We start from the raw sequence: 26,267 nt of genomic DNA on the forward strand, positions 1-26,267 counted from the left end.
GAAAAAATAATGTTATCTTTGTGCTGTAAAATATTTATGGAAAAATACTTAGGTGAAGGCTAAGGAATCTTGTGGTATGGTTTAGTATCTATTCCAACTTCATTCTGCATTAGACTTCACATAGGATAGGCCTAAGGATGCTAAGTAAGTAGATTCCAACATGTGGCTGAGAATCCCTGGGGTCTGCACATGCACACTTATACTTTGACTTGAGATTTGGGGCTGTGCTCTGTCTTCACAGCAGTATTCTGCTACTTTTCATATGTATGCCATTGCTAATGGGAAAAATACACATTTATTTAAAATCATGAGGAAATTCAGAGTAGCTTTTTGTAATTTTGCACACTCTCAATTAATGGATAAAATATATGTGATCGCTGTCATGTGGTGATCTGATGAATTTTGAGAGCTGGAAAAGGACCCTTCATACTTGGAAAAGTAGGAAAATCATACTGTGAAACTACTACCATGGGAAAGTAGGATATTATAGGAAGAGCTAGCCCAATTAATGACAGCTACCATTTGTTAAGTGTCCTGGTGCTATGCGTGGTTAAATCATTAATTCTCACATCAACCCTATAGGTGAGCCATATTATTATTAAGATTCCTGTTTTACAGATGAGAAAACAGGCACAGAAGAATTAAGTGTGGCCTAAGGTCTTTGAACCTGTGGTAAGTGGTAGAGCCAGGATTTGAACCTAGCCAATTTGCTTCTAAGCTTCACATTTTTAACCACTGCTTGTTCTCCTTCCAATTTTTTAAAATCTCCTCTCCTATGTGTTAAATCACATCAAGCTAAAAAAGAAAATTGACAAAAGGGTATAAGGAAGATGATTACAGACCCATAAAATCCATTGGCAGTAAACTATTAATACAAATTTACAGGAATTTTACTATATTTAAAAATACCATTTTAATTTTGGTATCTTTAGATGATAAATAAAATGTTCATATATATTTCTTCTCATTTTCAAACTCATAATAATTATGTAATTTTCTTCACCTTAGTAGAGCAAACTGTTAATAAATTGAGTGGTTAGTGCTTAAAGACTGTTAAAAACCACTTCAAATAACATGCCAATCTCATCTTTACAGTAATACCAGGTTGTTAATTAGCTGAACTACCCAAATACAGAGATTATAGTTAAAATGGTTTTGAGTGGGTGGTGATAATGATGCACTGCCTGTTTTACAACATGCTCCATGCCATGCACTTCAACTCCCATTTTTTAAAATAAAAATTTCCAACACTATTTTTCACCCTTTTCTTAAGAGAGAGATTCCACTGAAAAATAAAGTTCTTGCTAATTAAATATTTCCATAAACAATGGATCTCGTATCAATGGGGAAATATGTAAGAATGAACTATTCAAAGAAGGGAATTTTTCTCTGCTTGAGTACACAAGAGGAAAATGTCATTCCTGTTGAACGTTTTGGAAATGCCACTTTTAGAAAACTTTAAAATACCATGATGGTTGATTTTTTTAAAATAGTTTCTATTTGGAAAAAAAAAGTCACTTTCACGTTTCAGTAGCAGCTACTCTTGTATAATCTTCAGCACCATTAAAGAGATCTCTAGTCTTAATGTCATTGCTTTTTTTCTAGAGAAAGACCTATGGTCATTTTGCTGGGGTTGGGGGAGGAGGGGCAAGGATTAATGGTCTTTATTGTTTCTTCGTTTCCAGTGGCAGTGCCTTTCATCAGGGCTGTCTTGAACAGCCACATCATGTTCATTTCATTCTATAGCCAAACAGCGTTTGTTCAACAAACACTTCTTGAGTGTTTCCAATGGTCCAGGCCTTGGGCAAATCTGGGGATATTTTCATTAGTAAGAAATAGGTCCTGGCCTGAAGGAGCTACCAGTCAAGGAGAGAAGTCTGATATGTAAATGTAAAATTACAATCAATGTGTTTATCATTGTAAAAGACATCCCACATAGAGAGCTGTGGGAACAGAGGCAAAGACCATGATCTATGCCTTTGTTGGGGAAGGAATGGAAAACAGCAGGGTACAGTTGGCCAGGAGAAGTTTTGCGAAGGTTGAGCATCTGGAATGGTGGGGAGGGTCTGTCAGGGGTGTGGGGAAGAGCACTTCAGTTGGAAGGAAAGGCATAAAGTCAAATGGAGGTACTCAAGAATTGGACAGGCTTGAATTTGAGTTATAGACCGGTAACTCCTGTACCATGCAATCTGAGCAAACTCCTTATCCTCACATAATAAAATGGGGACAGTAATCCACATTGTGCAGCATTGCAGGGAGGATTAAAAATAATGTACTTAATGTGTCTGGTCCCGTGCTAAGCACCGACCATCGCAGGGAGGGCTTCTCCTCTTCCTCAAGGTGGTTCCTGTAACAGCTTCAATGTCACCACCTGACCACCATTTTTAAAGCCACCTCTCACTGCAGCATGTTCTTTATTTGGTTACATAATGGTGGCCAGTTTCCTCCAGTAAAATGCAAGTTCTATGAGGGCAGGATTTGTCTTGTTAACAGCTATATCTCCAGGGCCTGAACAGTGCCTGGCACATAGTGGGTGCTTAATAAATATTATTATTGTCACTAATGTTATAATGGTGTGAAAAGACAAGGTGATTTATAGAAATTATGTGGCTGTACTTTGGAGTTCATTGGAGGAGATGAAGCTGCAGAGGAACACTCAAGATTGTAAGAAGCTAAAGAGTCTGAATTTTATCTGGCAGGTGCTTCAGTAGGTTTTTGAATAAGAAGCAAAATTTACCTTGTCAGTAGACACTATGAAGAGAAAGTCAGCAGGTTCTTGGTACTGTTATGTAAGGGATGCTAAAGGCTCACCTATTCTGACTTTGAGGAAATTCTCTTTCTAATTTGTCTCCTCTATTGCTTTATCTGAAGGAATTGAAGTTCTCTGTATTTGGGAGTCACACAAACATTCTATTCCAGACAAACATTACTCACTCTCTTCATTAAAAAAGAAGAATCTTAATTATTTAGGTAAGCAGATCCTTGCAAAGTTAATTGTTTCATGTAGGATCAGAGAGTACTGGAGCTAGACCCACTTTAATTTCGTGGAGAAGGAATGGAGGTCCTTACAGATGGTTATAGAACCACCGATTCTCCAGTCTGTGTTTCTTCCACCGTGCTTCACTGTCTTTCCTTCCTGGAAATGTTTTGTCTGCCTGTCTGTCTTACTGTAAACCTTCTGGTAGGGCTGTCATTCAAAAGCCTATTGCTCTAGATACAGTGATTTTTTTCAGGGATGGGCATTTGACCCAAGCAGTCATCCCTGGAGTGGATCCATGGGTGCCCATAGAATTACCTACATGTTTCAAGTTAAATGCTATTAATTAAATGAATGGGTTTAACAGGCTGTATTTATGTTTTGCCAAATGAAATTGCAACACAGCAATTCACATGGTGGGAATCTTCCAACTTCATGATAAAATACCTTCCTGAAAACCTGGGACACTGTAGAACAGAAAGCGTGAGCTATTTGGTTATTTGCTGGATGATGTTAAGTAGCAAAAAGGATGGTAAAGACATTAATACAGTAAAATATGTGTGTTTTGCAATACTAAATGAATATGGTCAAGAAATGACACCCCACCTTTCAAGTTTATCTCAGCAAGATTTATGCTCAATGTTTCCTATGGATGCCAAAAAGTTTTACAATTATACTAAAAAGATAAAATATTACTTTGCCTAAGCAATTTTGCCTAAAATTGTAACTCAGAGTGCTTTGAGAACATGAATATTTTTCCTTTATAAATATTTTTGTGTTCTTTATTAACATATAGTTAATCTCACACCATAACCACATGTATAGATGTTTATACTATATAGAGAATATGAGCATTTCATAAGCATTTTATGCCATGCTTTTCTTTTCCATTGGATACTATAGTACACATTAGTACCCAAGAGGTTCATTTCTTCTTCTTGGGCTGAATGGCCCATTTATCCGTGGTGAAGTGAGTTTTTTACACACATATTGTAGAATCATAGACTCCAGTGCCTTGCCAAAGGCTCTGTGCCAGGTGCTACATCTATAAAGAAGATTAAGATGCCATCTTTGCCTTCAAGTAGTTCACATTCCAGTGACCAAAGTAGTTCACAGTCCACTAACCAAGTTATTAGTGCAGAGATTGTATTTCTGTGGGGACAGGCACTGCATATGTATTCAAGGAACACTTGCCCATACAAATCCATATAAATATAGAGTCTACTAATAACTAGGAAACTGTTGGGAGATTTAGTGTACTACTCACCTTTTCTGCATTTTGAGGTGCTCATCAGTGGAGTACATACACGAAGATCCATAGCCACACAAGAAGTGAACTTTATTGCTAGAGGTTGATGCCCTGTAACTTCCCAAACATAATGTTTCCAGTAAGTTTTGTCCTAGAAGCTGGCTTAGGCTTGAGACTGAACTTGGGCTTCCCTCCCATCCAGTGGAAAGAGCCAGGCTCACAAAAATCCTGATTCACTTGTCAATATGTGGTAAAGAGATAAAAGGTAGCCCTGTTCTGTTGTTTTTCATGTAGAGAGATAAGAAGCACAATCAGGCTCTCCATACCCAGATGGGGGAAGTGAAAAGAGGGGCAGGTACACACTTAATACCTCAGCCCAGCAACCAAAACCACTAGGAAAATGTATTCTGATGAATGTTGCATTTACAACCTTGATAGTTACCCCAAAGTTAGGCCTTATAGACCTTAGGGTCTATGATAATCATTATTTTACACCTTTAATTTTTTCTTCTTTAATATAATATGTCTCAGAATAATCCTTGTTGAAAATCCATCCTTTATGAGCAATGCAGATGGCACAAGATGGACGAACCAGGAATGTTTTCTGTAAAAACTCCTGAAAAAGAAAAGAAAGGGGTCTCCTCCTCCTTTGTGGGTTGAGACAAATGTGAGATGAGGAAGAAGGATGCGGCATTCAGGGTCGACTGAGTTCCAGCAAGGGTCCAGAGGTAGAAGAGAGCAAATCATGTTTATTGTGTGTCCGAAACTTTAACGTTCAAGGGCCGAACAAGGAGAGAGAAAAGAAGCTAGAAATAAAGCTGGAGTGGTGACACAGAGTGGTAGGGAATCCCCTTACTCCCGTACTCCCTAAATTTAGCTTTTATGCTGAAAGCTGTGGCCTGTCCTTGAAAATCTGGAAGCAAGAGAGTGACAGGATTAGGTTGGAATTTTAGCAAAAGCACTTCAGTGTGAAGTGGAGAAAGATTAGAAGGGACTCGTTATGGGTTGAATTGTATTCCCTTTCAAAAGAGATGGTTGAATTCCTAATCCCCAGTACCTCAGAATGTGACCCTCTTTGGAAATAGGGTCACTGCAGATATAATTTATGATGAGTTTTTACTGGAGTAAAGTGGGCCCCTAAGCCAATATGGCTGGTGTCCTTATTTTTAAAAAAGTGACTTGTTCACAGAGATAGACACACATAAAGGGAAGATGATGTGAAGAGACACAGGGAGAAGACAGCCATCTACAAGCCAAGGAGAGGGGCCTGGACTCTCCCCTCAGAGCTGTCAGGAGCAACTCACCCTGTTGACCTATTGATTTTGAACTTTCAGCCTGCAGAACTGTGAGACAATACATTTCTGTTGTTGAAGCCATCCAGTTTGTGGTATTTTGTTATGCAGCCATGGGAAAGTAACACAGACTCCAAGATTGAAGACCGAGTAAGAGGACTGACGAAGGCCTGAATTAAGATGGAATGAAAAGAAAGCTCTTGAAAGATATTTAAGAAGTAGAATCGATAGAATTTGGTGATTAATCAGGATGTGTGGAGTTAACATAGTGAGTAAGATAGACCTACATTTCAGTCCTGGCTCTATTCCTGCTTAATGATGTCAACTTAAACCATTTATCTTCTGTGTGCTTTAGTTTTTTTCATCTCTAGAATAGAGGTCATAATAGTTTCTCTGATGGTTAATTTTATGTGTTAACTTGACTGGGCTAAGGGATGCCCAGATAGGTAGCAAAACATTTCTGGGTGTGTCTGCGAGGGTGTTTCCAGAAGAGATTAGCATGTGAATCAGTAGACTGAGTACAGAAGATCACCCTCACCGATATGAGTGGGCATCATCCAATCTGTTGAGGGCCCAGATAGAACAAAAGGCGGAGGAAGGACAAATTACCTCTCATTGTTAACCTTTTCCTGCCCTCAGACATCAGAGTTCTTGGTTTTAGGCCCTTCAGTCACTGGGACTTCCCTCAGTGGCTTCCCTGGTTCTCAGGTGTTTGGGTTCAGACTGTGTTATACCATCAGCTTTCCTGGTTCTCCAGCTTGCATAATCATGTCAACTAATTTTCATAATAATATCTCTTTCTTAGATAGTTAGATATAGACATATACTGGTTCTGTTTCTCTGGAAAACACGAATACAGTTTCCATCTCATTGAGTTGTTGTGCCAGACAAGAGAATGAATGTTAAAATCTTATTACACTGGTATAATAAATACTTCACATAGTAATATTGATAAATATAATAAATACTCAATACTTTTAAAAAATGTTTATTTCAATAGTTTTTGGGGAACAGGTGGTTTTTGGTCACATGGAAAAGCTCTTTAGTGGTGATTTCTGAGATTTTGGTGTACCTGTCACCCAAGCAGTATACACTGTGCCCAATGTGTAGTCTTTTATCCCTCACCCCGCTCCCAACCTTCCCCCAAGTCCCCAAAGTCCATTGTGTCATGCTTATGCCTTTGCATTCTTATAGTTTAGCTCCCACTTATACTTATAAGTAAGAACATACAATATTTGGTTTTCCATTCCTGAGTTACTTCACTTAGAATAATGGTCTCCAACTCCATCCAGGTTGCTGCAAATGCCATTATTTCATTCCTTTTTATGGCTGAGTAGTATTCCATGGTGTATATATACCACATTTTCTTTATCCACTCAGTTGATGGGCATTTAGCTTGGATCCATACTTTTGCAATTGCAAATTGTACTACTATAATAAACATGCATGTGCAAGTGTCTTTTTAATATAATGACTTCTTTTCCTTTGGGTAGATACCCGATAGGGAGATTGCTGGATTGAATGGTAGATCTACTTTTAGTTCTTTAAGAAATCTTCGTATTGTTTTCCACGGTGGTTGTACTCGTTTATATTCCCACCAGCAGTGTAAAAGTGTTTCCTTTTCACCACATCCACGCCAACATCTCTTATTTTTTTTTTTTATTTTTAAATTGTGGCCATTCTTGCAGGATTAACGTGGTATCTCATTGTGGTTTTAATTTGCATTTCTCTGATAGTTAGTGATGTTGAGCATCCTTTTATATGATTGTTGGCAATTTGTATATCTTCTTTTGAGAACTGTCTATTCATGTCCTTAGCCCACTTTTTGATGTGGTTATTCGTTCTTTTCTTGCTGTTTTATTTGAGTTCCTTGTAGATTCTGGATGTTAGTCCTTAGTTGGATGCATAGTTTGTGAATATTTTCTGTCACTCTGTGGGTTGTCTGTATACTCTGCTGAATATTTCTTTTGCTTCGCAGAAGCCTTTTAGTTGAATTAGGTCCCATCTAGTTGTTTTTGTTTTTGTTGCATTTGCTTTTGGGTTCTTAGTCATGAATTCTTTGCCTAAGGCAATGTCTAGAAGATTTTTTCCAATGTTATTTTCTAAAATTTTTATGGTTTCAGATCTTAGATTTAAGTCATTGATCTATCTTGAGTTGATTTTTGTACAAGGTGAGAGACAAGGATCAAGTTTTATTTTTCTGCATGTGACTTGCCAGTAATCCCAGCACCATTTGTTGAATAGGGTGTCCTTTTCCCACTTTATATTTTTGTATGCTTTATTAAAGATTAGTTGGCTATAAGTATTTGGCTTTATTTCCGCATTCTCAATTCTGTTCCTTGACTATGTTTATACCAGTACCATGCCATTTTGGTAACTATAGCCCCTTGTATAGCTTGATGTCAGGTAATACAATGCCTCCGGATTTGTTCCTTTTGCTTACTATTGCTTTGGCTCTACAGGCTCTTTTTTGGCTTTGTATGAATTTCAGGGTTGTTTTTTCTAGTTCTGTGAAGAATGATGGTGGTATTTTGATGGGAATTGCATTAAATTTATGGATTGTTTTTGGCAGTATGGTCGTTTTCTCAATATTGATTCTACGCATTCATGAGCATGAAACATGTTTCCATTTTTTTGTGTCAGCTATGATTTCTTTAAGCAGTGTTTTGTGATTTTCCTTGTACAGATCTTTCGCCTCCTTGGTTAAGTATGTTCCTAAGTTTTTTTTTTTTCAGCTGTCATAAAAGGGATTGAACTCTTGATTTTATTCCCAGCTTGGTTGTTGGTGTACAGCAGTGTTACTGATTTGTGTACATTGATTTTATATCCTGAAACTTTACTGAATTCATTTATTATATCTAGGAGCTTTTTGGATGAGTGTTTAGGATTTTCTAGGTGTATAGTCATATCATCGGTGAACAGTGACAGTTTGAGTTCCTGTTTTCCAATTTGGATGCCCTTTGTTTCTTTCTCTTGTCTAATTGTTCTGGCTAAAACTTCTAGTACTATGTTGAATAGAAGTGTATGCTTTCCCCCTGAGAACTGGAATAAGACAAGGATGCTCATCTTCCCACTTTTCCCTATTCAGTGTGATATTGGCTGTGGGTTTGTCATATATGGCTTTTATTACTATGAGATATGTCTCTTCAATGCCATTTTTCTGAGGCTTTTAATCATAAAGGGATGCTGGATTTTGTCAAATGCTTTTTCTGCATCTATTGAGATTATGTGATTTTTGTGTTTAATTTTCTTTATGTGATGTATAACATTTATTGACGTGCATATGTTAAACCATCCCTGGTATGAAACCCACTTGATCATAATGTATTATCTTTTTGATAAACTTTCATTGAGGATTTTTGCGTCTATTTTCTATGTTTATCAGAGACATTGGTCTGTAGTTTTCTTTTTTGTTATGTTCTTTCCTGGTTTTGGTATTAGGGTGATACGGGCTTCATAGAATGATTTGGGGAGGATTCCCTGTTTCTCTGTCTTCTGGAGTAGTTGTCAATAGGATTGGTACCAATTCTTCTTTAAAGGTCTGATAGAATTCAGCTGTGAATCCATCTGGCCTTGGACATTTTTTCGTTGGCAATTTTTAAATTACTGTTTCAGTCTTGCTACTTGTTATTGGTCTGTTCAGAGTTTATTTCTTCCTGATTTAATCCAGAAGGGTTGTATATTTCCAAGAATTTATCCATTTCCTCTAGGTTTTCTAGATTATGGATGTAAAGGTGTTCATAGTAGTTTTGAATGATCTTTTGTATTTCTGAAGTATTGGTTGTAATATCTCCCGTTTGGTTCTTATTGAGCTTATTTGTATCTTCTCTCTTCTTTTCTTGGTTGATCTCGCTAATAGTCTATCAATTTTGTTTATCTTTTTGAAAAACCAACTTGTTGTTTCATCTTTCGTATTTTTTGTTTGTTTGTTTCAATTTTATTTAGTTCTGCTCTGATCTTTGTTATTTCTTTTCTTCTGCTGGGTTTGTGTTTGGTTTGTTCTTGTTTCTCTAGTTCCTTGAGGTGTGACATTAGTTTGTCTATTTGTGCTTTTCCAGACTTTTTGATATAGGGATTTAATGCTGTGAACTTGCCTCTTAGCATGGCTTTTGCTGTATCCCAGAGGTTTTGATAAGTTGTGTCACTATTATTGTTCAGTTCAAAGAATTTTTAAATTTCCATCTTGATTTCCTTGTTAGCCCAAAGACCATTAAAGAGCAGGTTATTTAATTTCCATGCATTTGTACAGTTTTGAGGGTTCCTTTTGGAGTTAATTTCCAGTTTTATTCCATTGTGGTCTGAGTTGATACTTGATATCATTTCGATTTTCTTAAATTTATTGAGACTTGTTTTGTGGTCTATCATGTGGTCTCTCATGGAGGATGTTCTGTGTGCTGATGAAAAGAATGTATATTCTGCAGTTATTGGGTAGAATGTTCTGTAAATATCTATTAAGTCCATTTGTTCTAGGGTATAGTATAAATCCATTGTATCTTTGTTGACTTTTTGCCTTGATGACTTGTCTAGTGCTGTCAGTGTAGTATTGAAATCCCCACTATTATTGTATTGCTGTCTATCTCATTTCTTAGGTCTAGTAGTAATTCTTCTATGACTTTGGGAGCTCCAGTGTTAAGTACATATATATTTGGGACTGTGATGTTTTCCTGTTGGACTAGTCCTTTTATCATTATATAATGTCCTTCTTTGTCTTTTTTTGATGTTGTTACTTTAAAGTCTTTTTTGTCTGATATAAGAATGGCTACTCCTGCTTGCTTTTGGTTTCCATTTGCATGGAATATCTTTTTTCCACCCTTTTACCTTAAGTTTATGTGAGTTCTTATGTGTTAGGTGAGTCTCTTGAATACAGCAGGTACTTGGTTGGTGTACTTTTATCCGTGCTGCCAATCTGTATCTTTTAAGCGGAGCATTTAGGCCATTTGCGTTCAATGTTAGTAGTGAGATATGAGGTACTGTTCTATTCCTCATGTTGTTGCTTAAATACCTTTTTTTTCCATTATGTTATTGTTTTAGATGACCTGTGTGATTTGTGCTTTAGGGAGGTTCTATTTTGGTGAATTTTGAGGTTTTTGTTTCAAGATTTAGTACTTCTTTTAGCAGTTCTTGTAGTGCTGGGTTAGTAGTGCCAAATTCTCTCAGCATTTGTTTGTCTGAAAAAGACTTTATTTCTCCTTCATTTATGAAGCTTAGTTTTTGCTGGATACAAAATAAATTCTTAGCTAACAATTAGTTTGTTTAAGGAGGCTAAAGATAGGACCCCAATCTCTTCTGTCTTGTAGGATTTCTGCTGAGATGTCAGCTGTTAAACTGATAGGTTTTCCTTTATAGGTTGCTGATGCTTTTGTCTCACAGCTCTTAAGATTCTTTCCTTTGTCTTGACTTTAGATAACCTGATGACTGTGTGCCTATGGTGATGATCTTTTTGCAATGAATTTCACAAAATTCATCAAGGAGTTCTTTGAGTTTCTCGTATTGGCATATCCAGATCTCTAGCAAGGCCAAAGAAGTTTTCCTCATTTTTTGCCTCAAATAAGTTTTCCAAACTTTTAGATTACTCTTCTTCCTCAGGAATATGAATTATTATGCTTAGGTTTGGCTATTTAACATAATCCCAAATTTCTTGGAGGCTTTTTAAGTTTTTTTCTTTGTCTTATTGGGTTAATTTGAAAGGCTTGTCTTTGAGCTCCGGAATTCTTCCTTCTACTTATTCTAGTCCATTGTTGAAACTTTCCACTGCATTTTGTATTTCCCTAAGTGTGTCTTTCATTTTCAGAAATTGTGATTGTTTTTTCTTTGTATCTATTTCTCTGGAAACATTTTCATCCATATCCTGAATTGTTTCATTTCTTTAAGTTGGTTTTCATGTTTCTCTGGTATCTCCTTGAGTAGCTTAATAATCAACATTCTGAATTCTTTAGCTGACAATTCAGAGTTTTCTTCTTGGTTTGGATCCATTGTTGGGGAGCTAGTGTGATCCTTTTGGGGGGTGTTATAGAATCCTGTTTTTTTCATATTACCAGAATTAATTTTCTGGGTCCTTCTCATTTGGGTAGAGTATTTCTTCAAATTGTTCTTGAATTTATTTTTTATTAGACTGTTTTTTTTTAAATTTAAATTTCTTTTCCCCTGCTCTTAAGGATCAGATTTTAGTATTTATTTTAGTCTAATTTGATTTATTGGTGCTGTAGAGGTGAAGACTCTATATGAGCTCCTTAGTTATAGAGAGTCTTTGTCTGCTGGCTTTCCCCCTTGCTAGTTGTAGTAGTTATATTCTTGGTGTGTGGGTGAGTTCACTGTTCCCTATGGAGTTGGAATGGCAGGGATCTCTTGAAGCTTATCTTGTTCTCTAGTAGTGCATATTTTATTTAATTTTTTCCTAGTGTTTTATTTACTGAGTTGATGAGTCAGTCTTCATGCCAATAGGGGAGGTAACCCTGGGTAGGCACCAGTTGTGTCTAAGGCAGATGGGTAGCTGTAATACCCAATAGTGGGCTGAGGCCTTGGCCTTGATGAGGGTGGGTGGGGGAGCTCTCAATTAGATGTGCTGAGGTTTTATCTAGGTGAAGAGTGGGAGCTACCTCAGCTCCCCTGCCAGGCCAGCAGGAAAGCTATTCACCTCACAGCCTCACTCCCATCCTAGTATTTCAGCTATTCAGATCAGACAGGCACTTTTCATCTACAGGGATGTTGATGTTCCAAGTAGGGAAGAATTGTTACTCTGCCTCTCATGCAGGCCTGAATCTTGGGGGTGCTCTTCCTGTGGGGCTGCATTCACCCTGAATTTTTCCAGAAAGGCTACCTATAGGTGCCTCCATGCTGCATTCCTGTGGGGGCAGCCCCAGCTGTGTCTACAGTGGAGTGCCAGGGGGAACAAGGACCCCTTTTCCAAGGCCTTTCATGATCACAGCGGCAGCCTGCCTGTTGGGGTAGAGGTGCAGACTTCCCCTACTATGCCCAGCACTGCGATTGTATCTCTGCTGTGAGAAACTACCCTCCAGTGGAAAGATCTGGTTCTCAAGGCCTGCTGTTCAGATTCTTTTGTCCCACAGGGTGATCCCTTGATGTGGTGCTCTCCCACTTCCCCTAGGGATGGGGCTCCCTGAGAGCTAGACTGCAGTGATTGTTGTTGCTCTTATAGGTCTAGCCATCCAGTGGGGCTACCAGGCTCCAGGCTGCTGCTGGGGAATGTCTGAAAGAGTCCAGTGATGTGATCGTTCTTCAGATCTCCCAGCTGTGGATACCAGCACCTACTCTGGTTGAGGTGTCAGGGGAGTGATGAGATTCCTTGGGTATAGATAGTTTAGTGTGCTGGCTTTCCTGAGTGCTGGTTATGCTAGCAGTGAAGTTGTCACGTGGACAGACTCAGGACCTCTGGTTAGCCAGGACGTTGCAGGCAGTGGAATTAACTGTTGTTTTCTCCTTCCCAGGAGCAAGGTTATTCTGTCATGAGTTGCCGTAATGTCCTGAGTTGGTTGGCCTCCAGCCAGGAGGTGGCGCTTGCAAGACAGCACCAGCTATGGTAGTAGCAGTGGGATTTGAGCTTGCCCTAAGTTGACCAGGGGAAGTATTCTGCTTCTTAAGCAATGGGCGGGACCATAAAGCTCCCAAGACTTTATGTCTTTTGTGTTCAGCCACCAGAGTGGGTAGAGAAAGACCACCAGCTGGGGGCAGGGCTAGGTGGGTCTGAGCTCAGACTCTCCTTGGGGGATTGGCGGTGGGTGGTTCTCCAGCCAATGGGGTTATGTTCAAGAGGGGATTATGCTGCCCCTGCTTAGCAGTATTGTTCACCAGGGAAGTGGGGAATAGCCAGTAGCCAAAGGCCTCACCCAATTCCCACACCATTGATGAGGCTGGTGTGGCTCCTGCAGTCCCCGGCTAACAGTGCCAGGTTTGGATTCAGGCAGCCTGCACATAGAGCCCAGACCTGTACCAGGCCCATATTGTTTTGTTTTAAATAAAATATCTGGATTACATTAAAAGAATTGAGAATAATTCATAATTCTTACCTGGCCAGGTAGGGTATGTTATTATTCAGTGAGAGGAGAAATATTGGAGATAAATGAATTTGGGTGTCAGGATGATACATTTGGTATATTAAAAATATACAAGCAAATTATATGTTACTAAAAATACACTGCCTTACCTTTAAGGTCAGCTTTCATAAAGTTCAAGTTGTATATTTTTAAATTAACAAAAAGTTATATATTATCCATTAAAGGTAATCTCATATGGAAAATGAAATGATCACCATCATGTTTCTAGGTTATTAGGGAAAAATAATGACAAAAATCATATTTGTTTAAAATCTTTTAAAAAAATTTATATTGATTGAATTGACTGTTACATTGAAGACAGAAATATTGACTTTTGACAACTTGACCAACAATTAGTTCTTAATTAACCTGAAGTTGTCAACTTATGATCACTCTCTCTTGGATGAATGATCTCAGGCAATCTATAACAGAGAAATTGAGTCATCTGACAGAAATTATCTTTGGCAAGGTTTTAGTCCTAGGGTTACCAGATGGAATACAGGACATCCATTTAAATTTGAATTTCAGATAAACAGTTAACACTTCTCAAGGATAAATATGCCTCAAATATTGCACGGGACATATTTATACTAAAAAAAAAGTGTTTTTTTTTTTTCCTGCGATTCAAACTTAACTGGTGTCCTGCATTTGTATTTGTTAAATCTGTCAATCCTATCTCAGTTTCCTTTGATGGAATGTACCTCTGTGCTAATATTTAAAAATAGGTTACATTTGTGCTCGCTTCGGCAGCACATATACTAAAATTGGAACGATACAGAGAAGATTAGCATGGCCCCTGCGCAAGGATGACACGCAAATTCGTGAAGCGTTCCATATTTTTTAATTGAAAATCATTAAAAAAAATAGGTTACATTCATAATCATCCTGATTTGAGATATATTTTGCCTAAAACTTGGTCTACATGATTTCTCAAAATCCTTTCTTGAGCCCAAGGATTTGCAATTCATAATTTAGTGAAGAACATACAAAGAAGGACATTATTAGTAAATGCTTTGCTAAAAGCAATGCACTATTTAACAGTACAAAGAAGTCGAAAGGGTCAATCACATATGCAGTGTCTCAGAGTGATATTTTCATAAGACTTTATTTAACACACTAATTTCCACAGGTGGAACTTTGTTTTCTCCCTATCGATGGGAAGATTAGTAAAACAAAATGAGTGTACCTGCTTGTTTCATGAAGATGACAAACCTCTTTGATGTGTTTACCTTTGTATAATGTTTTCATATACCATTTATATAATTATACCCTAAGAAATAAAATCACTAGGTATTTTAAAAATTATTAGAATCATGGTGACATTTTAAATGAATAGGGGATGAAATGAGATGGGCTAAATACCATGTGATTTCAATTTAGACTTTAAATATATCCATGGGGTCCCCATAGCTTTCTTTCCAATGGTCTATTCCCATGCCTTTCGAATTTCAAAAGAAGATATCATGGGACCATCTGCCTCAGTCTTGAGCACTCACAACCAAATAATGGCACACATAAGAAACCTGGAAAGTTTTACTTGTAAACCTAGGCCTGGTTTGGTTTGCTGCAGAAATTACAATGGTTAGTTTGTGATTGTTCACTTAAAATTAATCAGATCTTTTCTTATAAAGAATATTACTTTGACTTTTCAAAATGACTTATCTTCTTACTTTCTGTGACTTTCCATAAGGCTTATGAAGTAGTCATGCAGAAAGAAGAGAACTGTACTTCTAATTTCCCCAAATATCTACTTACATATTTTAAAATGGGTATGAATAATTAAAAGGCCTTTGGTAAATTAGAAACACAAATAAATTGAACTTCACTTCTAAGGAGAACAAAGCAGTAATAGTAATTCCCAGCTCACAAATTCTTTGAGAAATTCGAGATGATCTATTTATAAAATTCTAACATATTTGGGGGGAAAAAAGGCAACAGAAGGATTTGTCCACACCGTTTTCTCATTGGCCCATGATCACAGAGCTGTTCAGACCTGTCTTGTCACCTCCAGAGGACACCTACGGGAAAACCTTTCCTTTGTCTTCAGCAAATGGACTTCTCTTGCTCTTTCTTCTTTTTGTTCTTTACCTGTGAGAAGATAGAAGAGATGGATGAAGGGATAGATTCACCACATGAACCACAAGCTTTTACTTTATGAAACAATACTCTAAGGCATGGTTATGGAAGCTTAATGAGCATAGGGATCTTTGAAAGCATTTAGGCGGAGTACCTAACCAATGCTGTAAATCAGAAAAGACTTCTCAAAAGATGTGAGTTCCAAGTTGTGAACAAAAGGGTGAGTAGGAGTTACTGGTGAGGACAGTATTCCAGGTGGAAGTAAGAGTATGTGGGAAGACCTGAGAAGTAATAGAGCTTGATTAGCTAGAGAGTTGAAATGAATTAACTTGCCAACCAGAGTTCTAGGCCAGATCAAGAAAAGTTTTATAAACCATGAAAGAAGAAGATTTTATCCTGAAGGCTTTGCTGAAGAACCAGTCATGGGTTTAATGTCATGGAGGACATAATAAGATTCACACTTGCAAAAAGATACCTTTGATTTCAATGTGGAGAATGAACTTGAGGGGCACAAATAAAAGCCATAAGAGCTGTTATTAAGCTTTTCCAGTAATCAGGGGAGGTGATGGTGACCTGAACCAGAAAATTTGGTTGTAGGAATGGAGGACACTGAATAGGTTCAATAAATATGTAAATGGAAGAGTTGACCAGACTCGATTGATGGGTTGTGGAGAATGAAATGTGGGAGGTTGTAGAATAGTTTCCAAGTTCTGGTTTGGGAGACTGAATAAACAATGATATGATAAAAAGTAGAACATGAATTTGTGGCAGAATTAAGCAAGAGATAATGGGTTCGGTTTTGGGCATATTGTAGGCCCTATGGATACTGAATTAATTTATGTGATTAACAGATATTTGTGGAGTACTAATTACAATGCCAGACCACGTGGGTAAAGGTTGCAAGGGTAGAGGAGTGAATAAATTTATTTAAAATCTATAGTGTAGTGGGGGAGATAAGCAATAAATAGATAATAAATACAATAAATATAGACAGTCATGTGCCACTCAATAATGGGAATATATTCTGAGAAATACATCATTAGATGATTTTGTCATTATCCGAACATCATATAGTGTAGTTACAAAAACCTAGATAGTATAGCCTACTACACACCTAGGCTATGTGGTATAGCCTATTGCTCCTATTTGTAACACAATGATATTTGTGTATCTAAACATAGAAAAGGTATAGTAAAAATACTGTATTGTAATCTTATGGGAACACCATTGTATGTGTGGTCTATTGTTGACCAAAACGTTGTTATGAGGTGCATGACTGTATATGTGATGGAGAGGTACGGGATTGGAGATCAGGCTAGCAGTCATCAATCTGAGTAGAATTTTGCTAACTGCAGAGTGGTGTCTTTAAAGAGAAATAGGAGTAAAGGAACTAAAAGTGACTTTTGTTGAAGTTCAAAGTCAACATTTTAGCCCCCCTGAAATGTGTACTTGGATGTAATGACTATGTTTGGAAAGAAGAAGTCTTTTCTGGAATTGAGGGCATCAGATGATAAAGACAGTCCTGTCAAGCTTGAGAGCAGGGCTGTGTTCCTGTTTGGTAGGGCCCTGGTGTACGTATTAACAGAGCATCCTTAAATGTCAATGTTCACAAACACAAATGAAGTAGATAATGATGGTTAGTCAATGACTTGTGTTAGTAAATTAAAGCCTTCACTATTGTCTTTCAAGTCGACAAACATTTATTGACTGCCTATTATGAGCAAGGTCCTATGCTTTCTGTTAGGAATGCACAAATGAAAAGCATACCTCCACCACAAATTCACGCTCTGGTAGCAAGATGGGCATTTTATAACTAATTACAATATAAGTCAAACTAGAAAGTGCTAGGATGGCTGTATCAAATTTTATTAATTTCCATTGGAGACCAAAGGAATCAGTGAATTTTTGGAGAAAAGTCAACTGGTTCTATGCTTCATAAAGTGTGGTAATTTATTTAACCATTCAAATGGCTAACAATATTCTAGGAGGCAGTGCACATTATTCAAAAAATATTTTTATTAGAAACCTCCATTGGGGACATACCAATTAATTCTATATGATTTGTGGCTAGGCAAATTTTCCTTTGGGGATCAGACTCTGGGTCCTTCACCTGGTGTTTGTTGTCACTGGAGATTCCAGCAGTCTGTCTTTCAGGCATTTTTCATTGAAGTGGGTATGAGTATTAGTATAATTGGAAGCTTCAGAGTTCCCTGAAAGTTAAAGGATAGTCTGGCTTTAATTCGTAGCCATTTCTCTTTTTTCTTTTTTTAACTAGTTAGTTCAAATTCTACCCATGCTTAAGGACATCACACTTCCAAACAATGGCCTTCTCCCAAGTTAGGTCAAGGCCCACTGCTAGATGCTATTATAGTACTATGTGGCCTTCTTTACAGCACTGATGTCAGTTGTAACTTTACTCTGTGTGTGATTGTTCAGGTCTTCATTCAGTCACTTCATTCAGTTAACTAATGCCAGTTGGCTTTCAAGTTAACAGAGCAGAAGCCATATATCTGTTAATTTTTTTCATTGCCCCAGCTTTTAGCCCAGTGCTTGGCACTGAACCGGTAAACGAACTCCTGCCTGAAGTTTTTGCTTCCTTCTTGTGCTAACTCTTGCAGGGGGTGATAAGTGGGAGAAGGTGGGCAGGGGGTAGATGATGCTGGTGAAATTAAGTTGCTAACCACTCCTTCATTTAGTGTCCTAAACTTATTTCACTGAAGTTTCAAAATATGCTCCTCCACCATTCTGTTAGGGAACAAGCCTGGATCAAGTTATTCAGATAATTTATAATTGTGTAAATTGTAGTCAACTTCCTCATTCAACATTTGCCTTTCCAAGCTGAAGAGGCTAACATTTCAATATGCCTCAAATAGCAGCACTCTACCCCCCATGTTAGTTGCTATTTCCTTTGTTGCTTGTGGTTTCTCTGGCTTCATGTTATTATTTGAGACGTGGTGACTATAATCTCATGTGGCATTCAAAGAGTATATACATTGGAAATTTATACAATGCTAATCTCACTGAGTTTCTAATATTCTGCTGCATACATTTACATTTTCTTCATGTTTTAACCCAAAAGACAATTCAGTCAGTTTCCTTAGAGAACTAACAATGACTTCCAGGTGTGTGTCTTCCCTGCCTGAAGCTGATAGCTCAGAGCCATTCATTGTATACCTATGCTATTTATCATAAAATATGTTAGCTTGTACTTACTGAGTTGAAGTCTAGTTATTACATTTCTAGTGACTTATACAAATGGTAAGATTTTCATACCTATATATTACCTTTCCTCTTAGCTACAAATCTGAAGCTTTAATATGGAATAAGTTTGAGCTTTCTGAACATTTATAAATGTGTTAAATATGATTGGCTTCAGTGAAGATTCACAAATAACTTTGGAGGCAACTACACATTTATTCTTATTCTGAATAAAGATGTTTCCTGATATAAGTTTACCCATGATAAAACTGCTTTATGATATAACACTGTTCTGTGGGGATTTCTGTCTTCATGTTCAAGAGTAGGCCGATATGCAGCCAGCATGCACCAGTATAGCCGTGCTGATGGCTTTTTACAGATAGTGTTCATTTTGATTAGTTGAAGCTTCAGTTCTGATTGCTTGAAGCCAAAATATATTAAATATTTTGAATATTTAAAGTGATCAAAAAATCATTAAATGACATCAGAACCACATTAGCTCTTTGTTTCAAGCTATTGAGTTTTACTTCTCCTAGCTAGGTAGAACACTAATCTATAAAATAGGCTGAAGTAAAACCACAAGTGTAAAATAGAGGATCTGGATTACCTTAAACTATAATCAAGAACTAACTGTGTTTTTATAGGTCTGACTTCAAGTCAGTGCATCTGAGGCTGCTGGGAACTGAAAGTTCTTTGACTCTTTTAGGTAATTGGAGGACTTTTTTTTTTTTTTTTTTTTTTTGGTCTCAGAGAAAAGGAGTAGACTTGATAATGTACTTCCCCTTATTTCCTTATAAAATAACAGACTTATGATATATTCTTGCCACTCTGGTCAAAATATACCAAAGTTACCTGAAAAATCTGATGATAAGTTTGATTTCCCTATAGGGTTGGGCTATTGCTGCAGAACTTGTGCTTGAGGTGGGATGGTTTTCTATTTTTCAGTATTTAATTGGAGTCATGTTGACACATGATAAGAAGAAGGGAATATGTCCTTAGACTATCACAGAAACCATGAAAACATGGTTTGTCCTCAGCATTGCACAATATACGTAACAAATCTCTACACCCTGATTCTAAAATAAAAGTTGAAAAAAAGTAAAATTGCTATGAAAAAAGGAAGTATGTTCATATGGAAATTCCACTGTTCATTTTTGAATTCTATAAACTATTAGTACAAAGAAATTCAGCTTGAATTGACTTCAAGAAATTGAGACTTAGCCAGTTGTTTCTTGGTGGTTTTGCTTAATTATGTAAAATTTTCCTCAAGCTAGTCCCTCATGTTTCCCATGGTCTGGGCACCAGTTCTAGAAAGAATCTGAGAATGAAGATTTCAATAGGTGTGGAAATGTCTTGGTATTTTTTGTAGTTATTTTCTAGCTTGATGGCTAATTGGTAGGGATGTTGTAGACAAATCCTTGCTCTTCAAAGTCTGATGCATGGATCAGCAATATTGATATCACCTGGGAATTTTTTTTAGAAAAGTGGACTTTCAGGCTCCTGCCCTAGACAGACTCAGACAGACTCAGTTAGAACTGACATTTTAATGTAATGCAGAGGTGACTCATGTATACATTAAAGTCTGAGAAGCTTTTGTGGATATCTAATTCCCATGGAGTCAAGAAGGAGCCCTGGCAGGTCTACATTACTTCTATTTTTTATTTTTCTTTTCTCTCTTTATCCCACAAGAAAGTATCTGTAAGTACTAAATGACTTTTAAAATCCTGTACTTTAAGTTTCTACATTACACTATGAAGTTTCCTGCCTTCAACTGTATGTTATTTGGATCTTTCAACGTACAACTAGATGGAAGATGATAGATGGTAAATTCTTAGTGAAGGAGACTTTGAGGTGACAATTTAATTTTCTTTCACTTTTGTGGTTCTTCATCATATAGTGGGTACTCTCATGATTCTTGACATTAGTTTTGATTATGGCCTTTAGAAAACACAAGCGTGGATTTGAAAGCCCTGTGAGGAAAATCTTGAACTTGAGTTAGCATTTTTGGGACTTGAAGTCATTAGCATTCACCTGCTCCTACCAGTTTCATAATTTAACTTGGGAGATAACTTATAATGTAATCTCAAAGAAAGGAAAAGTTTTCTGAATTAGACATCCTGGCTCTGTTGACATAAAAATATAATTATACTTCTACAAAATTAGTCAACAGATTTTTTTCTACAGTGAGAGTAGTTCTTCAAATGTTTATTTTATTTAGCTATAAGCAGTTCTTGTTCCATATTTAAAAAAGTCATTTACTTTTGTTTTTGGCTCTGCAAGTAGCTTCAAAATAGGGTCTCAAAATAGAATAATTTTATTTTGAATAAATTCTTTCACAATATCATTTTACCATTATTCATACAGTAAGCAATTCTGAACTATGTGCACACAAATACAGTCTTTGTGGGAATACTTTGAAAAGTCTTTAACAAATAATTTGAAAATGTTCCTCTTATAATGATTTTTGAAGCCCTTTCTCCTTAATTTCCTCAAATCTTTTAAATAGTCTCTGGTGATTTGACAATGCTTGCTCACATTTGTTGGTGGTCATAACTGGAAGTTGGAGGTGGAATGGTGCCACTGGCATCTAGTGGGTAGAGGCCAAGAATCATGCTAAACGGCAATGCCAGGACATCCTCCGCAATGAAGAGTCAGCCCAAAATGTCAATAGCGCTGAAACTGAGAAGCTCTGTATTGAATGTACTGGTGAATTGGTTAATGCTCAAAGGTGCAGTTAACAGATATTCATGGAGATAGACCATTTAGAGACATAAAACAATTATTGACTCTAAACATGTAGATGGGTAAATACAGTTATCAATTAATGTCAAAATTCAGCCTATAAGGTAACGTGAGCTCAATAGAGTTTGTGTGATGTTACATATATTATAAATAAGTTTGGGAGTATCTGCCCTCCCTTTTCCCCTTTACCTCAGCAGTTGAATAGGTACCGTCATGAGAATACTGGATATTTCAATTAATAAGTTTCAAATAAAAGTGGAATTAAGCTAAAAATTATAAAGAGTCCTTGAATGGCTTGTTGATTAGAAACTAATGTAACTCCTTGTCTAGGATAAAATACCAAACAGGCAGCAGCTGCTGGTAATTTGGTGCAAGTAATTGTACAGCCAATAAGTTGAAGAAGTGCTTATTAAAAGAAACTGCTTTCCTATCTGCTTGTAAGTTCAATTGAGTAATGCACTCTACATGTGGTCTGACATTGGGTAAATTATACACCTGATTTAAAAACACTCCATCCATAAGAGCTCCTATTTTGCTCATCCATAAAATTTTTACTTTCTTCATTACTACTTGCAGCAGTGTATGGCATAATATCTATCAAATTAGGCTTTGAGGACATCTCAGGCTGGCACCCTGCTGACTTGAAACATGTGTTTAATATTACTGCAGTGCTTTTAACCCCATGAGTGCCCCGGGTTGGCCCACAGAGGCATGCAGAATCTGTTCCGCTGTCTCTGTGCAGACACATTCTCCACCTACTGAGAATGAGAAACATCAAAGATAAAGGGGTGGGGGTTGGATTAAGGATTACTCACTGGGTAGGAGAAATAAGTAGTTAAAATTTGTAGGAAATAAGATAGACAAAATGAAAACTGTGTAGTCTACTATTTTGCAATTTTTAAAAATATGAGCCAGATATAAACATTTGAAAGCAAGGCATACTATTTGACCTAATAAACTCTGAAAACAAGACCCAAGAGGACTTTCTGGATAACTCACATGAAAGCCAACTTTGGCATGTGTCTTATTCACATTTATAAATATGTGGATGACTTTAATTAATTTTAACAAACATTTATTGCTTTCTGTCTACTAAGTGCCAGACACTGTGCTTGATGCTGGAGACACAGTGATGAATGTATATGGCCCTTGCCATCTTGCAGCTCAAATCTTGTAAAGGGGTCAGGATTTCAACAATCAACTCTAATATAGTGAGTAAAGCATAAGTGATCTCAAGGTTCAACATTCATTCATTCATTCATTCATTCATTCAGGGCAGATGGTATCTGACACAACTACTCTACTTGCTGGATCCCCATGGCAGATATTGCACTATTATAGAGCTAGATAGACCTGTGAATCTCAGCCTGATGCCATTAAGCATTCAAGTCACGTAATTATTTTCTTCTTTTCTTTTCCATACTAACCTGCCAGTCTTCTGATTATAATTTAGCTTCCCACCTGGAGTGTCTATGGAAAAAAATGGACTTAATAAAGAATTCTGTGTCTGTTATTATTTTGTGTGTGTGATTAATACTACTTATTTTAAATTAACAGACTGGTATATTGATCATAATTTAGCTCCGTGTGTATGGATACGCTATGGATAGAGGTCCTTTGACATCTACTTTTTATTGTAAGTGAATATTTTGTCATTCTTATATATTAGTCTTATGAGATTGGTTAATGTGAGTTAATGTGACTTTCTTCCTGAAGAGATAGACCCACTCTCACAGTGATGACAAGTTAAGTTCTGGGGCCAGCCAGACTTCAGAAACTAGAGTAAAGAATAGAAGCTACTGAAGGATTGGAGAAGGTTTTTAAAAACATATACCTGGAGTGAGAAAGAGAATGAGAGAGATACCAACCTAGATCCTGAGAAGCGTCAGGATCCACCAGTGAGAAACAGACTCAGGGTCAACCAGCAAGAAACAGAGGAATGCATTCAAGAAGAAGTTGGAGAAAGAAGATAGCAGGAAACAAAGGAATAAAAGGATCTAGGAAGGAGCTGGTAGTCAGAGATACATGAGCCTGAGAAACAGACCATTGGATAGGGTGGTTCAGAAACCTGTCAAGAGAGCAGTGTTATAGAGAAGCTGGAAGGGGTGGGGAACCCAATTGCGTAAGGTTTATGGAATAAGTAGCTGGTACAGAAATGGGAGTGCAGAGTGTGGGTATTCTTTCTAGAAGTTTGACAGGAGAATTGCACCTTGAAGACTTGCCTTCTGAAAGAGAGAACCTCAATATGTACAAAAGGCAATGCACAGGTGCATAAAGAGAAGATAAATGATGACACAAACTTCTAGGTAAGACATTCATATGTCTTCATTTTTCATTAATTCCTTTATTCAAGTAGCGAGAACATAGTTTAGTGGTCAGGCACATGGATGCTGCAGCCAAATGGCCTGGATTTGGATCCCAGTTTCACTATTATGACTTTGGGCAAATTGACCTCTGCACTTGCCTCAGAGGGTTGTTGGAAGAATTAAATAATATGCATAAAGCATCTGGAACTGTACCTGATGTAAACATGTATACATATTTGATAAATAATAAAGGATTTAGTCTGGACAAGGGTTAAGAAACATGATACTCTAGGAATCTATGATGAACTTTTTTTTCTATGTTTTATGAACTTCTTACAAGGTGTATTTGAGATCTAAAATTACCGAGAGCCTGCAGAGAATGAAATTGCTATAGATGTCAGCACAAAATGTCCTAACAATCTTATTCATAGGTATAAGTAGGTAAAATTGTAGAACTCTGTCAAAGAGTTAAAAGAATTTCCTGATGAAATTGCAGACTAATTTCTATGATGTTTTTGTGGAATTTGCCAGATATTACTCAAAGTTCCTTTCAGAATACCCATACAACCTTTATCTTCCTATCTTCTTTGAATTTAACCTGCCCTTTCTACTCTGTCTCCTTTACTGTAGATATTATTTAGAGCTCAGGGAAGTAGGTCCCTAAAATCTTTCCAAGTTTTCTTCTTATTTTATTCCTTGTATTTTTTCTCGGTTGATATCAGCTCAGAGAGTATTGGGTTAATTTAATAAATGCATCAGATGGCTCTTTCCTTGGGCATCTCAGCTGATGTGAATTAATTGCTTATTAATTGGTTGAGAATATTCTATGAATAAGAAAAGGTAGTTGAATAATCTACTAAACTCTCCTTTCTTTCCTTTCCTCTTAGACATATTATTTCAATTCAGGATTATAAGCATTGTTTATGGTGACTAGTGACCCTCTATTTTTATTTTTTAATTTATTTTATTTTTTTGAGCTAAGTGGCTTTTTTATTAGAGAAATCCAGAATTGCAAAGGACTTAAGAGTTGGATTGGGGACCTTCTTCTTGCCAAAGGTGGGCACAACATTGACAATGCGCTGGTTGTACTGAATCCACCACTTAACCCTGCCTGTCATCATCTTCTTCTTCTTTTTCTTTTCCTCCTCCTTCTCCTCCTCCACCTTCTTCCTCTTCTTCTTCTTCCTCTTCCTCCTCCTCCTCCTCTTCTTCTTTTTCTTCCTCTTCTTCTTTTTCTTCCTCTTCTTCCTCTTCCTCTTCTTCTTCCTTCTCCCCCTCCTCCTCTTCCTCCATTTGGCCACCGTGAGAGTCTGACCTCTCACTTTCCCAGAATGGGCCAGAGAAACATGGACTTTCCCTCTAAGCATGTGGATGGCTACTTCCAGGGTAATCAGGGCCTCCACACTGTACTTGCCCAGGGTAGTCTCATCCTCTAGGGGTGTGCTTGCCAGGAGCACAGGTTGATCTTCCCAGGCAGTGCCCTTCAGTGAGGCTACATGTGCCTTGATTTGGGCAGCTGCCTCCTGGCCAGTCACCTCAAGGGTGTGTAGCTCCTGGGCGCGGACAAAGAGCTGCATGAACCATGCTCCCCACTGTTGCTACCACAAAGACAGAGTTGAGAAAGAGGACCCACTATTTTTGAAGCTTAATGTAAGAAAATAGATACATGGGAAATTATTGGAAGCTTTTACTTTCCACAAAAGCAAGTGATGGTTTTGCTCAGAGCAGCAACACAATGACCTGTTGCTAATCTTGGCTTATTTTTCTCTCTCCTTGTGAAGGAGAGAGGAAATGCTAGTACATATTATTTAATTTTAAAATGCATATTGAAAAAGAATTCTGATGGCTGCCTTTCAGAGCAAACTAATAGATAACTGTTCTCATCACATCTGTATTGAGATTGCCTCTAAGGCTGTGGTAAAAGATGTTGAGTGGGCTCTTCCTAGGGTTCATCTCTTTATAAAAAAATTTTTAAATTTGTTTAAAAAGCTTTTTTTGGGTACATAGTAGGTGTATATATTCATGGGGTACATGAGATATTTTGATACAGGCATGCAATGTGAAATAAGCATCTCATGGAGAATGGAGTATCCATCTCCTCAAGCATTTATCCTTTGAGTTACAAACAATCCTCAGGTTCGTCTCAATGGGTTATTTGAGAACTTGGAGCTGGGAGTGTTCTGTGGTATTCTTTTGATTGGAAATGGGAGCTGAATGGGCTGTCCAGTGGGCAGAGGGCAGGAAATTGAAAATGGAAAGAGAAAGTTTCAGATGGCTGCGAACAATTCTTGAAAATTCTAGGTTTGAAGGTGCTGCCCTGGTGATCCCGAGGATGTGGTTCTCAGGCTCATTGTATCCTAGCTCTGTGATTTGGTC

General features: G+C 37.4%; 1 long non-coding RNA gene and 2 pseudogenes across 3 annotated transcripts in view; 2 read left to right on the plus strand and 1 right to left on the minus strand.

Annotated features, from left to right (window-relative positions):
* Positions 1-26,267, plus strand: part of SOX2-OT (SOX2 overlapping transcript) — a 685,549-nt gene that overhangs the window by 160,754 nt on the left and 498,528 nt on the right. The window lies entirely within an intron of this gene.
* RNU6-4P (RNA, U6 small nuclear 4, pseudogene) lies at positions 14,304-14,409 on the plus strand (annotated as a pseudogene).
* FAUP2 (FAU pseudogene 2) lies at positions 25,184-25,517 on the minus strand (annotated as a pseudogene).

The sequence above is a fragment of the Homo sapiens genome, chromosome 3, assembly GCF_000001405.40.
Source record: "Homo sapiens chromosome 3, GRCh38.p14 Primary Assembly".
Taxonomy (NCBI): Eukaryota; Metazoa; Chordata; class Mammalia; order Primates; family Hominidae; genus Homo; species Homo sapiens.